The sequence below is a fragment of the Homo sapiens genome, chromosome 7 (genome assembly GCF_000001405.40).
Source record: "Homo sapiens chromosome 7, GRCh38.p14 Primary Assembly".
NCBI classification, from domain to species: Eukaryota; Metazoa; Chordata; class Mammalia; order Primates; family Hominidae; genus Homo; species Homo sapiens.
In genome coordinates this window covers 151,873,952-151,890,215 of record NC_000007.14, presented here as the reverse complement: position 1 = coordinate 151,890,215, position 16,264 = coordinate 151,873,952, and the positions used below count along the sequence as shown (strand labels likewise).

Genomic DNA, 16,264 nt, shown 5'->3' with positions numbered 1-16,264 from the left:
CATGCACACACGTACGCATGCGCACACGAACACACATGCACACATGTACACACTTTTGCACATGCACACGCACACACGAACACACAAATGCACACACATATGAATGCACACACAAGCACACACACATGCATACACATGCCCTACCCCAAATCCCCCAACCACAGCCTGGGGAAGGAGCCCAGGCACCTCCTGGACCCTCTGAAGCAGGGCCTGAGGGCCACTCTGAGAAACGCTGCTCCTAACTCCAAGGTGCCAGGTCCCCGGCTGCCCTGGACCCACGGGAACAGCCTTCTAGGAAACACACTCTCTTCTGCGGTGAGGGTGGCCTCTGGGGGCCAGGTGTATTAGCTTCAGAGGGCAACAGGGCATGTGCCCAGGAAATTGTGGACTTTTTGCAATTTTCCAGAAGATTCTGGAAAGCAAACCACGTTGACGGTGCTACAGCTGTGTGTCTGGTATTTGCACTAACATCAAGGAAGAGACAGGAACGAATGTGAGTGGAGCCTCTGCCAGCCCTGCTGCCTGCAAACACCTGGGCATCCTTCTCTCCTTTTTGCTCAGTGGCTACGTGGCTTGCCTGCAGTCACACCAGCAGCAAGCAGCCAGGCAGGTCTGACTCCAGAGCCCAGGCTCCTTCCTGTGCACCTCTTTAAAGTCCCAAGGCCAGCGCACACAGAGGCACGTCCCTGGGTGGTGTCATTAGGGAAGCAACCAAAAGGAACCGCAGCCCTGGCCCCTACTTCTTCTGCAGAGGCTGAAATTCCACCATTAGTAATTACTTTCCTGGGAGGAAAAGTATATTAGGGTTCTCCAGAAAAACAGAGGCAATAGTGTTTGTATATGTATGTGTGTATGTATAATGTACATACATATACTTATATATGTGTATATCGCAGCCATTCTTTAAACTTACTCCCCTCCCTCCCACCGCGTGCACACACACACACACAGAGGAGAGAGAGATTGATAAGATTGATTCACTTTAAGGGACGAGCTTGTGATTATGGGGGCTGCCAAGCCTGAAATCTGCAGGACAGGCCAGCAGGCTGGAAATTCAGGTGCGAGCTGAGGTTGTAGCTTTGAGTCAGAAGGCTGTCTGGAGGCAGAATTCCTTTTTCCCTGGGGCATCTGAGTCTTTTCTCCCATGGCCTCCAAATGACTGGATGTGACCCACCCTGCTGTGGAGGATGGAGGGTGATCTGTTTTCAGTCCACTCATTTAGACGTTCATCTCATTTGAAAAAGGCCTTCACGGAAGCATGTGACCGGCATTTGACCAAACAGCTGAGCACCGCAGCCTGGCCACATTGACATTTAACGTTAGCCATGGCAGAGCCCATTAAATCGGCATGTGGGGCTCCGTGCAGAGCCACAACACCCTGGCTCTGACCTGCCGCTGATGGCTGTTAGCCTGGTGATCTCCAACAGGGCCGCTGTGTAAGTCACTCAGCCTTTTCAAACCTTGTATTTGTGTGTGGCAGGGTAGGGGTGGGGATATAATTCTTACTGTAAGAATGAAATGAGCTGACATCCATGAACACACCGTGAAATGGAAAATCCTCCACGCCTGTGTTTCTCACTCTGTGGTGGGAGTGGGTTCAGCTGGTATTTTCCTGTCTGCATGTCCACTGGATCATCACTCCCAGGCTCCTGTAGAGGAAGGGCCCTATTGATCTGCCATCAGTAGGATGGGCATTTGGCGGCTCAATCAGTGCAGATGGGTTTCTGGTGACTCATCGCACAGCATGCGCTCAATAAGTATTTATTGCCTGAGTGCGGGAAGACAAGGCAGCCACTCCTTGTACTCACCACACAAACTTTGGTGTCCGACTCAGTTCTCCAAGAGTCCAGAGAGAAAGGGAGAGAGCATCCTCAACAGACTCCTCGACGGTCTGATGGCAAGGACCTTGGAAATCACCCCACCTGGCGGTCTCACTTCACAGATGAAGGCGGTGGAGGCTCAGAGAGGCACGTGCCTGCCAAGTCTGGCATGGGATGGTCGCCGGTCCAGGACCGGGGCCCAGGCCTCCTGCCCAACATCAATAAATAGGACAGAAATTACTGTGAAAGTCTATCTCCTCCTCCACTGCTTCACATCTTTTCCAGAATAAATGCCATATAGAAAAAAAAAAGATTTAAATGTAATATGATTTTTTATGTTAAAAAAAGGAAACAGTACAAATGCAGAAGTAAATATGGGAGAGATTTTAAAAATAATTTTGAAGTAGGAAGGGCTTCTCTAAATATGGCAGAAAACCCCAAATAGCCATAACAAATAAATTAATGAAATAAAACATATAAAAAGAAAAAATCCTGCATGGAGAAAAGGCATAATAAACAAAGTCAGAAGACAAAAAATAACTGGGAAGAAATATTTGCCACCCACTGATGAGGAGCTAATCTCTTTATATATAAAGAGTGCCTATAAGTAGATAAGAAAATGATCCACTACCCAATAGGAGAATAGGCAAAAATCACAAATAGACAACAGACAGAAAGAGAACTCAAAAAAGACACGCGAATGTGTAAAAAGATGTGCATTCTTATTTATCACAAGAAAAATACACAGTAAAAGTGCGAGATACTATTTTCACCTAAGAGGTGGGCAAATATCAAAAAGTTAGAAATAGATTTGTGTCGATGAAGGTGTAGAGAGACAGGCGTGTTCATACACTGTGGGTGAGAGTGCAAACGGATGAACGTCCCAAGGAAAACAAATCACTGGTCTATGAAACTGAATCATGTCTTCACACCTTGTTCTAGCAAGTCCCTGTCTAAGCATTTGTCCTTCGGCACACTCCAAAATGTGTGAAATGACATGTGCACAGCATTCCAGCATTGGAAACAGCCTACATTTTCATCAGTAGAGGACTGCACACATAAATACAAGGTAATACATAAGTAATGATAATAAATTATGCAATGCTCGTACCATGGAATACTAGGCAGCCATTCTCAGGAATGAAGCAGCTCTCTATGAAAGGATATACACAATCTTCAAGACTTACTGCTGAGTTGGAAGAAAAGATAGAGGACATCATCAACAGCAGGCCTCCTCTGTGGGGGGAGAATGTCCACATGGACCTCAGCCTCCCACTCCCCTCCAGAGTCCGTCTCACCTTTTCTCGCCCTTCAAACCTCCCATCCACAGGTGGCACTGCCTCTTATTCACGGGGAAAACAGAAGCGCTCAGGAAAGAGCCTCACAAGCTCCCTGACTGTGTCTCCCAGGCTGCATTCGACGCGGTCCCTTCCAGTCACCTGGGTGATCTGTCCCATCTCCCACCTGTTGGCGGCCGGCCACGCCGCTGGTTCAGCTCATCTCTCTTGTCTATGAGGTTTTCCCCTCTCTTTCCCGCACCGTCGACACAACTCCCTCCCCTGAATGTTACAGGGTTGTTAGCACACAAACATGCCGTAATATCCCCCATCTTTTTTTTTTTTTTTTTTAAGACAGGGTCTCACTCTGTCACTCAGGCTGGAGTGCAGTAGTGTGATCTTGGCTCACTGCAGCCTTGACCTCCTGAGCTCAAACGATCCTCCCACCTCAGCCTCCTGAGTAGCTGGGACCACAGGCGTGTGCCACCACACCTGGCTAATTTTTGAATTTTTTGTAGAGATGGGGTTTTGCCATATTTCCCAGGCTGGTCTTGAACTCCTGATCTGAGGTGATCCACCAGCCTTGGCCTCCCAAAGTGCTGGGATTGCAAGCATGAGCCATCGTGCCTGGCCATATCCCTCACGTGAAAAAAAAAAAAAAAAGCCCTCTCTTGACCCACATTTTTCCCTGCTCACCACCTCATTCTCTGCTCCCTCATACAGCAAAGTTCCTAGAAATAGTTCTCACTATTCACCACGTCCTTTCCTCTGGATGTCCAGAGCCAGTCCCAGCAGGCTACTGCTCTCAAGCTCCTCTGCTCCTGCAAGCTAACCAGTGGCCTCCAGGTCACCATCAACTCTGCCTCTTCTTCTAACTCACTGCTTCTTCTCTCCCTTGCTCTCTGCAGGCCACTTTCTCCCAATTCCCTGATGACTCCCTGGCTGTTCTTTCCTGGTCCCTTTGTTGGCTCTTTCTTATCTCCCCAGCCTCCAGCTGTTGGAGGCTGCGAGGTACAGTCCCAACCTCTTTGCTGTCTACATTCTCATCCTAGACCATCTCTTCCCACCTCACAGCTTTAAATTCCATCCCTTGGTTGACGACTTCCAAACAAGCGTCTCTTGTCACCCTGACCCCTGTCTCTCTGGACTCTTCACTTGGGTGTTTGATGTATGTCTGAAGTTTACTGTATCCAAAAGCAAACTGTTTCCCCAGCCCCTCCCTGCCCCTGCCGTCCCAGTAAGTGGGATCATTCCAGGTGCTCCCATGCTGCCCTTTCCTCCTCTCAGACCCCACATCCAATCTATCAGCAAATTCTGGGGATTCTGTCTTCAAAACATATCCAGAAATAACAATGCCTTCTTGCCACTGCTCCTCTCCCACCCTGGCCTGAGCACTGTCACCTCCTGCCTGATGACACGATGGCCTTCTTACTGTGCTCCCCTGTTCTTTCCCTGTTGCTTGCACAGTCTTTTCTCTCCATAGCAGCCAGGCTGCTAAGGTCCTTTAAAAACGTGAATCAGATTGTGTCATTCTTCTAGTTGATGTTCTCCAACATGATCTCATCTCACTCAGATAAAAGCCAAGGCCCTTACTGTCCAATATGTTAAGTCCTACCACTCTTTCTCTCACCAACTTCAAACACCCCGATCTCACCCTTCTGTTTTGGAATCCTCTCCCCAGCGACCCACATGGCTCACCCCACCATGTCCGTCAGAGGTCTGCTCGAGTATTCCGTGACTCTAGGGCCACAGTCAAGGCTGCCCGGCAGACGCTGGGCCCACTGAGGGAGGGTCAGGCTAGTGGGGCCACAGCCACAGAGGCAGGAAATGCTTCCCATGATGCTGCTCAAGGCAAAATAACAGCAGAAGAATCCCCTGGCTTCTGTTGCCCTCCTACTCTTCCATTCTCTCCTATTGGCCAAAGCTCGCCGGACACCAGTTGGTGAAAGATCCTGGGACTAGAGGCCCTGGCAGTCCATAGCCGGGCAGGTCAGGGAATGGATCTAAGAGCAGAGGGAACCGGCCACACAAAAATAGATCCCCACGCAAATGAGCACAGCCCCATACTGGACCGTAAGTCAGTCTTTGGGGAAATGGTTACCATGACACCGTTCTAGAGATGTGTCAGTGAACATCTTGGTGAACAGTTTGCACCAGCTTCTTAAACCTGAAAGATAAAGAATAGGGTTGAAACCAATGGTCCTACCGAGGCGGACTCTCCTTGAAGCTCCATGAGAAACAGCTGCTCTCCTTGCGTCCTAACTGCAAGAATCACAGACAAATTTGCTGGCCTCAGTGTTGACCACAGTGAGCACCGGGGGCCTTTGGCGAATGCTGTGCTTTGGCAATGAACCCCACCCACTCCTTCACAGATACCTTTCGGATACCCAAAGCAATGTCTGCTTCCATCCCTGTAAGATATTGGCAACTCCTTCAGGTCATGGGCGCATAAGCTTTACAGTGTCAGGAAAATGTTCTCTCATGCAGGTCAAAGAACAATGAACTTAGTTTTGTAATTATGCTTTATTTTTTGACCTAGAGAGTAAAAAGCTACAATAAGTGGGGCTAGAAAAAAACAAGGCAAGACCTTTCGTACAATGGTGCTATCAGGAGCATGTGTTGCAATGATCTCAAAGAACCTTATGCAAGCCCATGGTACAGAGTTCTACTTGGAAAGTTCCTCACTGTCCCAAGACCTCACACAATTCTTAGGAGTTAGATTTAGGAACATTTTAAAAATTACCTTTTGACCCACATGGCACAGGGAGTGTTGTCATAAACCATTATGTCCTTGAGAACCACCTGCATGGCTAGAGTTTTTGAACTAACCATCTTTGAGGGCTTTGGCATGCACCAAATGCGTATTTATTGATTATGGCATAAAGTGCTAGTGAACAGGGACAGAGATAAATTCTGGAAAGGTCATGCTTGAGTCTAGCTCAGGGTTTGTCAGTGGCTTCTGGGAGGAACACAGCTTCTTCAGAGAGTCAGGATGATGCTGTGCCTCTCTAGCACGGCTTGGAGGTCAGTGGGTCTCTGCCTCTGTGCACCTGGTCCTCTGGAACATGAGCTGGCGCTCTGCTCTGCAAATGCTGCCAAGTCCGAAGGCATAGCATGCAAATCTATTTTTTCTGGAGTCTTGTTGAGAAGCCATGACTGGCATTCTAGAGACCAGGTCTGGGTATCAGCTGCATATCACTGGAATGGATGGTATCAGTGGTGCAGGCAAACCAGAGCTTCAGACAGACCCTCTCATGTAAGTGAACAGTCAGATTTGCATTGCAATGTACGAACTTTGAGGCCAATATCATTACCAAAATAATTTTATTTGCTTGGGAAATTATTACAATTAATTTGCATTACTTAATCATGTGCCCATAGATGGGTGAGAGGTCAGAAACCAGTCAAGAGCCATATTCAGGTAATAGTAGTATTCAGATTTCCCAAGGTTAATCAGGATGTTTATTGCATGTTGAGAGCTCATAACTAAGTCAAGAACCAACACACACAGACCTTTAGTCAAATTCTGCAGCCCAGGGAGACCAAATCTTCCACCCCAGTGGGAGGTAATGCCGGATCACTAGGATAAAAGTCACATGGGACACTCTGCAAAACAATTATAAAGGCAGCTGTTAGCAGAACCAAAGACTTTATTCCCAACTAATGCTGTTTACATGACGGCTACCCTTAGTCAGGAAGGGGGCATCATTGCTGGGGATTCCCTATTCTATTATTTAGCAAACAGACACCTCCTCACTGCACAGCGCTTGTGGATACACATGCCCTGTTTGGTGAATCTGTCATTCTGTAGAACTGCTGAGTGTGTGCTTAGGTACAGAGCTGGCCAAGACACGAAGCTATTCTCTAGAGAGAAGATATGCACAGCAAATCTGTCGTTTGGGAGAACATTGCTACAGGGTTCACCTTTACCTTAATCCAAAGTACTTCTTGGATTTCACGATGAGGACTTCCTTATGGTTGACTGGCATCATGGATGAAGAGCTACCTGGAGCACTGACCAAGGAGGTGGCTGGCACAGGTGCCCGGGAAAATAAAATGGACCCAGAAAGGGGCAGTCAGGCAGTCAGGAGATGTGTTGTCCCAAAGCAGTGTTCCTGCTGGTCCTGGGCCCCTGCCTCCACTTCTCTGCGTGGATTGATACTAATGACTCCATTTGTACCAGGGAGCAAAAGCCATCACAAGGTTACACAACCATTGCCCAAGCTTAAAGGAAATAAAAACTGGAATGTGACTATTTGCCCTGTTTTTCACAATTAGATAACACCCCCTTAGCTTGGTATTCAATAAGTTATCAAAGCATTTACAGAGTCCTGAGCCCAGAACTTGCTGTTTAGTTTTTCTAAGAGTTGTAAAATTGAGCTGTTGTTGTCTTCCTGCATATACAGACCATTGCTCTCTCCATTTGTGTCACAGGCAAATAGACCAAGGCAGCTAAGATGTTCTTAGTTGGTCTCTCTTAGACGGTCCAAGGTTATCCCAAAGGCATTTCCTAAAGAGTCTTCAGCAAAGTTCTTAAAAGCAGAGGGGCCACATATTTTATGTTTTCCTAGAGGGCACAGCCAATTAATACTCACGGGCAGAAGTGAAATGAATGCCAGCGGATTCCAGCAACTAGGTTTCTGTTCCCTTCATCTGTAAAGTGGATGTGATCGTTCTCTTCAGGGATTTTAGTGGAAATTAGGGTGAGATAGTTAATATGAAGTACCTAACATGGTGCCTGGCATGTTATTAGTGATCAAAAAGTTCCTTTCTTCTTTGCAATGTGGAATCCACTGTCACTGAGGTTGGGAACTCATCAGACACAGACATCCATCTCCTGATTACAGAGGAAGCTTCTAACTGCTACATTCTAAGCACCCAGAGTAAGCTTGGACTTCAAACCCATGAGGACACCCCCAATTCTAAGACTGTCTATACTATATAAAGATGACTCATGGTTTTCAAAGTCATTTTTATTTATATGGAATAACAGGCCAAATTAAAAAAAAAAAAAAGCATGGGTGGGCGTAAGGGAACACGTAAGTTTGGAAAACCAGATTAAGTGAAATTAAATAGCCAGTGTCCCCTTCATAAGCTCTGATCAAGGATTTCCTTTACGTTAACTCTCCTACTGTGGGTATTTCACTTCTCAGCGGGTTGTAGGCCCTGGACCTGGGTGCAGCATTTTAAATTATCACCTCTGAATGAAATGTTGCCTGGCTGGGGAAGAGGTGGCTCACCCTGGCAGGCCAGTGTGTTGACCAGGATCCCTGAGAGCTGACAGCATTCAGAAATGGGTACCCCAAGTATTTGCAGGTGATGTTGGTCTAGGATACTAATATAGTGGGACAGCAACGACACAAACACATGTGTGGTATAAAATGTGCCAATCATATCTGCTCCCCCATTCAATGTGCTAACATGTGTATGAGCCCTTGGCACTGTCACATAATAGAAGCTGCATGTTTTTAACCCTCATGCTCACCAGCCTGGGCCAATGATGCCCCCAACGGGAAGCAGCCTCAGTGATAGGGTTTGGCTGTGTCCCCACCCAAATCTCATCTTGAATTGTAGCTCCCATAATTCCCATGTGTTGTGGGAGGAATCATGGGGGTGGGTCTTTCCCATGCTGTTCTCGTGATAGTGAATAAGTCTCACGAGATCTGATGGTTTTATAAATGGGAGTTCCCCTGCACACTCTCTCTTTCCTGCTGTCATGTAAGACGTGTCTTTCCTTCTCCTTGCTTTTCACCATGATTGTGAGGCCTCCCCAGCCATGTGGAACTGTGAGTCAATTAAACCTCTTTCCTTTATAAATTACCCAGTCTAAGGTATGTCTTTACTAGCAGCATGGGAACAGACTGATACACTCAATATGCCCCTTTCTCCAACAAGCTATCCCAAACCATCTGTAGGAAGGGCCTTGGGTGGTTTTTTAGTTGTTTCTGTTTGTTTTTAATTTCCAACTTACTGTGGAATGATACTTTGTAAAATTCAATAAAAAATAAATTACTAGAGCAATACAATTAACAAAGACATACCAAATACAATCAGGACAAAAATACAAGCTCCCTTAAAGAGGCCACAGAAATATTCTGAAGACCATCCCACTTCTCTTACAGATGGGGAACTAAGGGACCTGCCCCCATTGCATAGCTGGTCAGAGGCAGCTCCTCTGGCTGAAGCAAGCTGGGTGCTTTGGCCTAAGCCCTAGCCCTGACCCCAGCCCCAGATCCAGCCCCAGCCCCTGCCCCGGCTCCAGCCCCAGCCCCAGCCCCAGCCCCAGCTCCAGGCCTGGCCAAGTTCTCCTTCTCATCCTTCTCGGAAGACGAGGGGGAGGTGAATGAGGCATTGGCCTCAGGTGCAAAATTTAAGGGGGTGCCAAAAACTCAGTCACCAAGATAAAGAATATGTAATGCAATATATTTCTAAACATTAGAATTTTACACAAAGACAGGATCAGTAACAGTGCTGAGCCGAGCAATATTGGCACCGGAGGCAAAAGGCAGAATCAGTGACATTGTCAGAGCCTTACTTAAAGTTTTGGCCTTTTGTTCAGCACAGATTTTACTGCATTAATGTTGAGAAGGAGGTCATAGGTAGGGCATAGAGAAAGAGTGAATGTCAGGGGTCATTATATGAACAACGTCGCGTGGGCCCGCGACATTTAGCTCCTGGCTAAAATAACTGTGTGCACACCAACGGGAGGGGAAGACGGGGGTTTTCAGAAAACACCTCAAATCAAAACAATTACTGTGTTCCTTCCACTCTGAGACTCCACCAGTCAGAAGATATGTGATCAATTTGTTAATGTATCTCTAGAAGGAAAAAAATGGCAGGTAAACTTCTTCTGACATCATCTATAAGCAACCCCCATAATTCAGAAATATTCATATATAGAACCCTGAAGGGAAAAATCCCAAATTGTTTTTTCCTCTGCTCTCACGCTACGACAATCATCAACGCGGAAGGTTCGTGTCACCATATGTGTGTGTTGGGGGTTCTCCCCACTGCCAAGCAAGCAATCAGTTCCGCAGGAGACACCAGGGTGTCTTCCAACTCATTTCTGACACTGTCTACCTGGAGATAGTGGCAGATCCCACAGGTTGAGGGCTCAATCCCCAAGGCACCCCACCCCCATCCCACTTCGCACAGCAGTTGCAAGTCCAGGCATCCGGAGCTTCTGACCGACAGGCTGGGCTCTCAATTGGGGTTCCCACAACCCCCTCTCAGGTTCATTAATTTGCTAGAGTGGAACACAGAACTCAGGGAAATGTACATTTACTGGTTTATTATAACGCATATTACCAAGAACACAGATGATGGGATGTACAGGGAGAACAGGCACGGAGTTTCCATGCCCTTCCCAGGCACCCCGTCTTCCAGCAGCCTCCACATGTCCAGGGATCCAGAAGCCCCCAAACCCAGACCTCTTGGGCTTCTTAAGGAGACTTCATTGGACAGACACGATTGACGACCATGCAGAAATGTGATCGAACAAAAAGGTATGATCCAATAGTGACTGAGTAAGTGTGGACACCCAAACAAGTCCTGCCTATTCCGACCGTTATTGGCCTTTCCGTGCAGGATTTCTTCCTCTCGGGAATGGGGCAGGACCCCTTCTGAATAGAGGGTCTTAAGTCCCACAATCAGAAAGATGAGGGAGGATTAGAGTCCTGCCTTGGGCTGGTGAGGTGGTGAAGGAGGGCAGGGGAAGTTCAGAGGAGATTGTTTCCTGGGGTGTCTGAGGCCTAAAGCGCCCCAACATTATAACAAGAGACTGTGATGAGGGCGACGAGAGTGCTAAGCCAGGAACCCTGGACAAAACCCAGAATTTATACCTCGTCATATCACAAGGACCAAAAAAATTAAAAATTAAAAAAAGGCTCTTAAAATGCAGGCAATACAGTAAAATGTTTTAATGTAGGAAGCACTAAAGTCTTTGTTCCAACAAAATTAACTCAGAGAACAAATTATTTTACATATGTATACAGATCAATCAACAAAAGTACACATTATAACAATTGCTAAACACTGTCCATAAAGAAAACATTTCAAATGAGAAGCGCCATCGCGGTTTTCTCCTTCTGGGTCACCCAGTGGAATGAGGGCCCTCGCCAGGGGCTCTTCCCAGACGTCTCTTCACACCAACCGGCTTCCTTCTGATGGCCCCATTTTCCTTTAAAACCAGTTCTCATCAAATAGGGTGTTTTATGCACCCTGGCAAATGATCATTTTGACAAGGATTAAAACTGTAAGCTAAACAGATGACACAAATGACAATTGGGAATAATTTTTAGTGGGGACAGAGGCTAAATACTACCCCCTCCCCTTTTCTACTTCTAACCAATATCTTGAGCATTCAGTGGGACAATACAGTCTTGCTGGGTCTCTTGAAATCCTCTAGCAAGAAGCCAGCCAGGAGAAGACCCAGAAGTCCCACACCTGTGGGGCCAGGATGGCTGCTTGGTTGCTAAACCCAGACAGGGTCCTTCCAGTGCATCTGCCCCTGTCAGGCTCTGTCTCGAGACTGGGGATCTTCCAGGCTGGCTTCATTCTGGACCAGAGAGCAGAGGAGAAGGAGAAAGAATATAAACCCACCCCTATGAGCCAGGGAACCACCCAAGCTGTAAGGATTTTGTGCAAGCTGCTGGAACTCGGGTTGGAAAAGCCACCCGGCAAGCAGCTGAAAGGAAGGATGCTTCTCCCTGCGTGGGCGCACGCCTGCTTCCTAAGAGATGATCCTTTGGGTGGGCTGATCATGCCTCCTCCTCTGGGGAGGGAGTCCTGCGAAAGCACGCACCTCAAAAGGAGTAAAGGCCCTATGGTGTCCCCAAAGCGACCCCTGTCGCGTTCTTTCTGCGGGTGGCCTCCCTGCATTACTGATTACTCGGAGCGGCTGAGCTGACGTCAGCATTCTGGGAGCGCCAATGACCTTTGGGGTCATCACATCCTCAGAAACTAGAGCAGGAGGGGAAGCGACCCCCAAGCCAGCACTCCCCCTACTTTCCACCAGGGAGCCGAGGTCGCGCCATCCTGGGGCGCATCTGGGGGTGGGGGACACACCAGCCCCCTCCCCCAACCCCTCTAGGGCCCTCGGCAGCAGGCGGTACTGGATGCCCACCCGGGGCTCTAAAGGACCTGGGCCGCACCGGGAACCCTCGCCCGGGTCTTCGAGCCCTCCCCTTCTCCCAATTCTTTCCGCAGTCTCAGGAGCCCCACGTTTCCCGCGGCGTGGGGACACGCACTTACCGCGGATCCACTGCGCAAACCTTGATGAACCTGAAAAAAGCAGGGTGGGGTGGGGTGGGGTGAGGGTGGGGGTGGCTAGACCCTGCTCGCACCCAGCGCCACGCACCGCTCTCTGGGCGGGTTCGAGTGCGCGCGCCGGGCGGGGCGGGACCCGGGGGCTGCGGTGTTTCGAGAAGCACGTGCTACTTCGCGCGCAGCGCCCCCGGAGACTGTGGGCTTCCTCGCTGCCTGGTCTACGGCAGGGCGGGCGCGGGGGCGTGTTTCAAAGGGTAGGGCACACAGTGAGACGCCGGGAGGCGGGATGGATCCGAAACCAGCTCGCAGCGAGTCCCAAGCGGCTGCGGCCGCCGCAGGGGTCTGGGCGCGGCGACGAGGGCGGCGTGGGGCGACGGGGAGCGGGACGGTGGCGCTGCACGCCGCGCACTTCCTGTTCAACACGCGCCGCCTCCCACCACCCGCGCTCCCCGAGCTTGCGTCGGTGCCAGGCCCGGCCCCTCACTGTCCCCTTGCGGTCCCCTGGGGCCGCGGCGCGGCGGGGGGCGAGGAGCGGGCGCCCTGCCCTTCTTGGCCCGCTGGACTCCGGGCGCCCCCTCCGGCGCGCAGGGCCGCGAGCGCCGCCGCCAGAACTTCTGCCAGCGGCCGCCCGTAGCCTAATTGCGCAGAGGGCTCGCCTTGCACCTCCTCTTCCCCCGCCGCCCTCCCTCTCGCCCAGAAAGGAGGACGGACCCAGCTGCAGGCTCCGAGCTGGTTTATTCTGCGGCCGAGGATTACATTTATGCACGAACGGGCTTACTGGTTCCAGATTCCCCACTTGGGCACAGGCATAGGAGGCTTGTTTTCCAAATTGCTGGTTTTAATTGCACCTGCCTTTCAGATTACCTCTGGGAATCTGTGGGAGGAGCCGAGAGGGTGGAAAATGTTTCTTAGCTTTGCAAAAGGAAGAAAACTTTGTCACCCAGCGGGAGACCTCAGCCACGAGTAACCCGGGGAGACACCAGAACCGGGACGGGCTTTGACTGATTTGCCTACGAGGGTTCCGTAGGAAAGGACGCTTGAATTCGGCGCTTCGGCGGCGGCGGCGGCCGCGCGAGTTCCCTGCTCACCCTCCCTCTCCGCGGAAGTCCCCACGAGGTGGCTTCAGGGTGTAACAGAGCGCGCGGCTCCAGTCCGAAGGCAGCGGCCGGGGGAGGGAAGGAGGGGACCGAACCCCCGAGGAGTTTCGCAGAATCAACTTCTGGTTAGAGTTATGGGAAGCGCGGTTATGGACACCAAGAAGAAAAAAGATGTTTCCAGCCCCGGCGGGAGCGGCGGCAAGAAAAATGCCAGCCAGAAGAGGCGTTCGCTGCGCGTGCACATTCCGGTGAGTCCCAGCACTCGGTCCCCTGCTCCCCAGCCCTCCTGTCGCTCCCGTCCCCGGCGCCGAAGCGGTTAACGCTGGACGCCCCGCGCGCGCCGTGCGTGCCCCTCCTGTCACTTCGGGCGGCTTGGGGAAAGGGTAGAGGGACAGGGCCCGAGCTGGGCTGGCGGAGCCGGGGCTCAATCTCTCTCTCTGCCCGCGTGCAGCCAGGGCTGGGGCTCCGCCTGGGGCGGGGGCTGGGCGGCTGCAGACTAGAGGGGGCGCCGGGCGCGGCGGGTGGGCGGCTGGGCGTAGCCCGGTATCCAGCCGGGTGCGGGTGCGGGGGGCGGTGCGTTGTGTTGTTTTGCTGAAAAGGGACGGTGTGGACTGCGCTCCGGGGAGGTGGAGCCCGCGCTCGGCTGCTGGAGACGGAGAGAGGGGAGGGGAGGGAGGAGAGGGGAGGGGCGGTGGGTGGGGAAAGCAGCGGGGCGGGGGTTGGGGGGAGCTGTGTAGCTGCGTCTTCCAATGCACCCCCTCCGCTCCAGTTTCTCTCCGGGCGTTTCTGGGCCTGGAGCGGGGGTCTCCTCTGCCGCCGTTCCCTTCCCCCGCCCCGGGAGTGTACTTTGGGTCTCTGTGGTATTTGGGGGCTCGGAGCTCCCTAATCCGTGCAGGCTGCATTGAACTTCAGCCCCGTCCGCGCCAGCCGCCCGGGAGGACATTGGCGACTCGGATCTGCCTGCGGCTTCACTTTGTCCAGCCAGAGGGGCGGCGGGCCGCGTAGTGGTTCTCTTTTCGGAAGGCGCCCCGGTAGCCCGCGGCCACTGTTCCTCGCCTCCACGTAGCGGGGTAGGGCGGTGGGAGGTGTGGCCCACTGGGTCACACCCTCCGCCTCAGCCAACCAAGTAAATGTTTGTGTACACACACACACACACACACACACACACACACACACACACACACACACACACCAGAGTGCTCCGTAGAGAAAGTTATTTTGCTCTCCCGGGGCAGGGTGGGAGTGCGCAGTGAATGGGCTGTCCGGACCCCTCATTAAAGCTAATCCTTCCCGACAGGGTCAGGCGCAGCTGGCATGGCCGAGGCAGGCCACTCACTTCCCACTGTGAATCCCAGGGCGCACTGCCCCGTGTTTGCTGAGCCACCCTTCTTTTAGACGCCCCGCTAAGGTCCTCCTGTGTAAACTCCGGCCCACACGTGCCTAACGCTTGGGTGAAGAGGGTGGAGTCCAGGGGCGGGTCTCCAGACACCTGATGCCAAGTAGCCCCACAGGGGCCCTGGGCCAGCCCTCCCTGGCTGGAAAGCTCTGGGGCTGGAAACTTGGACCCCTGGCTGCTGTGTGGCCCCCACGGTGGTGACTCGATTATGCAGGAATAAGTGTTCTATTTGAAAATGAAACATTCTTGTTTACATCTCTCATGTAAGACATTTAAAACCATGTTCGTGAGTTAAAAGTTAGATGTTGCTGCCACAAACCTCTTAAACAGTGATCACTTGAGCTAACCGTGTAACTACTGTTTCTCCCATTTGTCAAATGCAGGAAATAATACCCATTTTTCCTGCTTTATACGGATATTGAAATAAAGTAATTCATGGGAAAACTCTTTTTTATTGTTTTTTTTGTTTTGAGTCAGGGTGTCACTCTGCTCCCCAGGTGGGAATGCAGTGGTGCAATCATGGCTCACTGCAGCCTCAACCTCCCCAGGCTCAAGTGATCCTCCCACCTCAGCCTCCTGAGTAACTGGGACTACAGGCATGTGCCACCACACCCATCTAATTTATTTATTTTTTTTGTAGACATGAGGTTTTACCATGTTGCCCAAAGCTGGTCCACATGAGCTGGGCTCGAGTGACCCGCCCACCTTGACCTCTCAAAGTGCTGGGATTACAGGCGTGAGCCATCACACCCATCCCGGGAAAACTCTTGACAAGTGTAAAGTGTCCTATAAATGTATGGCTTATACATATACATATACATATACATATACATCATATACATATACATATACATCATATACATATACATCATATACATATACATCATATACATATACATATACATCATATACATATACATATACATCATATACATATACATATACATCATATACATATACATATACATCATATACATATACATCATATACATATACATATACATCATATACATATACATATACATCATATACATATACATCATATACATATACATATACATCATATACATATACATATATATCATATACATATACATATACATCATATACATATACATATACATCATATACATATACATCATATACATATACATATACATCATATACATATACATATACATATACATCATATACATATACATCATATACATATACATATATACATATACATCATATACATATACATATACATCATATACATATACATCATATACATATACATATACATCATATACATATACATATACATACATATACATCATATACATATACATCATATACATATACTTATACATATACATCATATACATATACATATACATCATATACATATACATATACATCAGA

The 16,264-nt window shown here is 49.8% G+C and overlaps 1 protein-coding gene and 1 long non-coding RNA gene across 8 annotated transcripts in view, besides 6 other annotated features; one reads left to right on the top strand and one right to left on the bottom strand.

Annotated features, from left to right (window-relative positions):
- Positions 847–1,658: an enhancer, noted in NCBI's record as "H3K4me1 hESC enhancer chr7:151585643-151586454 (GRCh37/hg19 assembly coordinates)". NCBI's record gives its function as "activates a minimal SCP1, AML or CMV promoter by ChIP-STARR-seq in primed H9 embryonic stem cells {active_cell/tissue: H9 hESC(primed)}" and the evidence as "EXISTENCE:reporter gene assay evidence [ECO:0000049][PMID:30033119]".
- Positions 1,659–2,470: an enhancer, noted in NCBI's record as "H3K4me1 hESC enhancer chr7:151584831-151585642 (GRCh37/hg19 assembly coordinates)". NCBI's record gives its function as "activates a minimal SCP1, AML or CMV promoter by ChIP-STARR-seq in primed H9 embryonic stem cells {active_cell/tissue: H9 hESC(primed)}" and the evidence as "EXISTENCE:reporter gene assay evidence [ECO:0000049][PMID:30033119]".
- PRKAG2-AS1 (PRKAG2 antisense RNA 1) lies at positions 10,993–13,174 on the bottom strand. Its single transcript, NR_038926.1, has 3 exons — positions 13,076–13,174; positions 12,350–12,379; positions 10,993–11,654 (listed from the first exon to the last, which is right to left on the bottom strand). It is a non-coding gene; the product is annotated as a PRKAG2 antisense RNA 1 (long non-coding RNA).
- Positions 12,607–13,036: a silencer, noted in NCBI's record as "silent region_18828". NCBI's record gives its function as "represses an Ori minimal core promoter by ATAC-STARR-seq in GM12878 lymphoblastoid cells {active_cell/tissue: GM12878}" and the evidence as "EXISTENCE:reporter gene assay evidence [ECO:0000049][PMID:35858748]".
- Positions 13,101–16,264, top strand: part of PRKAG2 (protein kinase AMP-activated non-catalytic subunit gamma 2) — a 320,989-nt gene continuing 317,825 nt past the window's right edge. For all 7 annotated transcript variants that reach the window (NM_001407031.1, NM_001407030.1, NM_001407023.1 and 4 more), the window contains exon 1: positions 13,101–13,709. In NM_001407031.1, coding sequence (NP_001393960.1) covers positions 13,596–13,709 — 114 coding nt within the window. In that variant the 5' untranslated portion in view covers positions 13,101–13,595. The remainder of the gene's footprint in view (positions 13,710–16,264) is intronic.
- Positions 13,799–13,848: a silencer, noted in NCBI's record as "silent region_18827". NCBI's record gives its function as "represses an Ori minimal core promoter by ATAC-STARR-seq in GM12878 lymphoblastoid cells {active_cell/tissue: GM12878}" and the evidence as "EXISTENCE:reporter gene assay evidence [ECO:0000049][PMID:35858748]".
- Positions 13,909–14,048: a silencer, noted in NCBI's record as "silent region_18826". NCBI's record gives its function as "represses an Ori minimal core promoter by ATAC-STARR-seq in GM12878 lymphoblastoid cells {active_cell/tissue: GM12878}" and the evidence as "EXISTENCE:reporter gene assay evidence [ECO:0000049][PMID:35858748]".
- Positions 14,239–14,358: an enhancer, noted in NCBI's record as "active region_26872". NCBI's record gives its function as "activates an Ori minimal core promoter by ATAC-STARR-seq in GM12878 lymphoblastoid cells {active_cell/tissue: GM12878}" and the evidence as "EXISTENCE:reporter gene assay evidence [ECO:0000049][PMID:35858748]".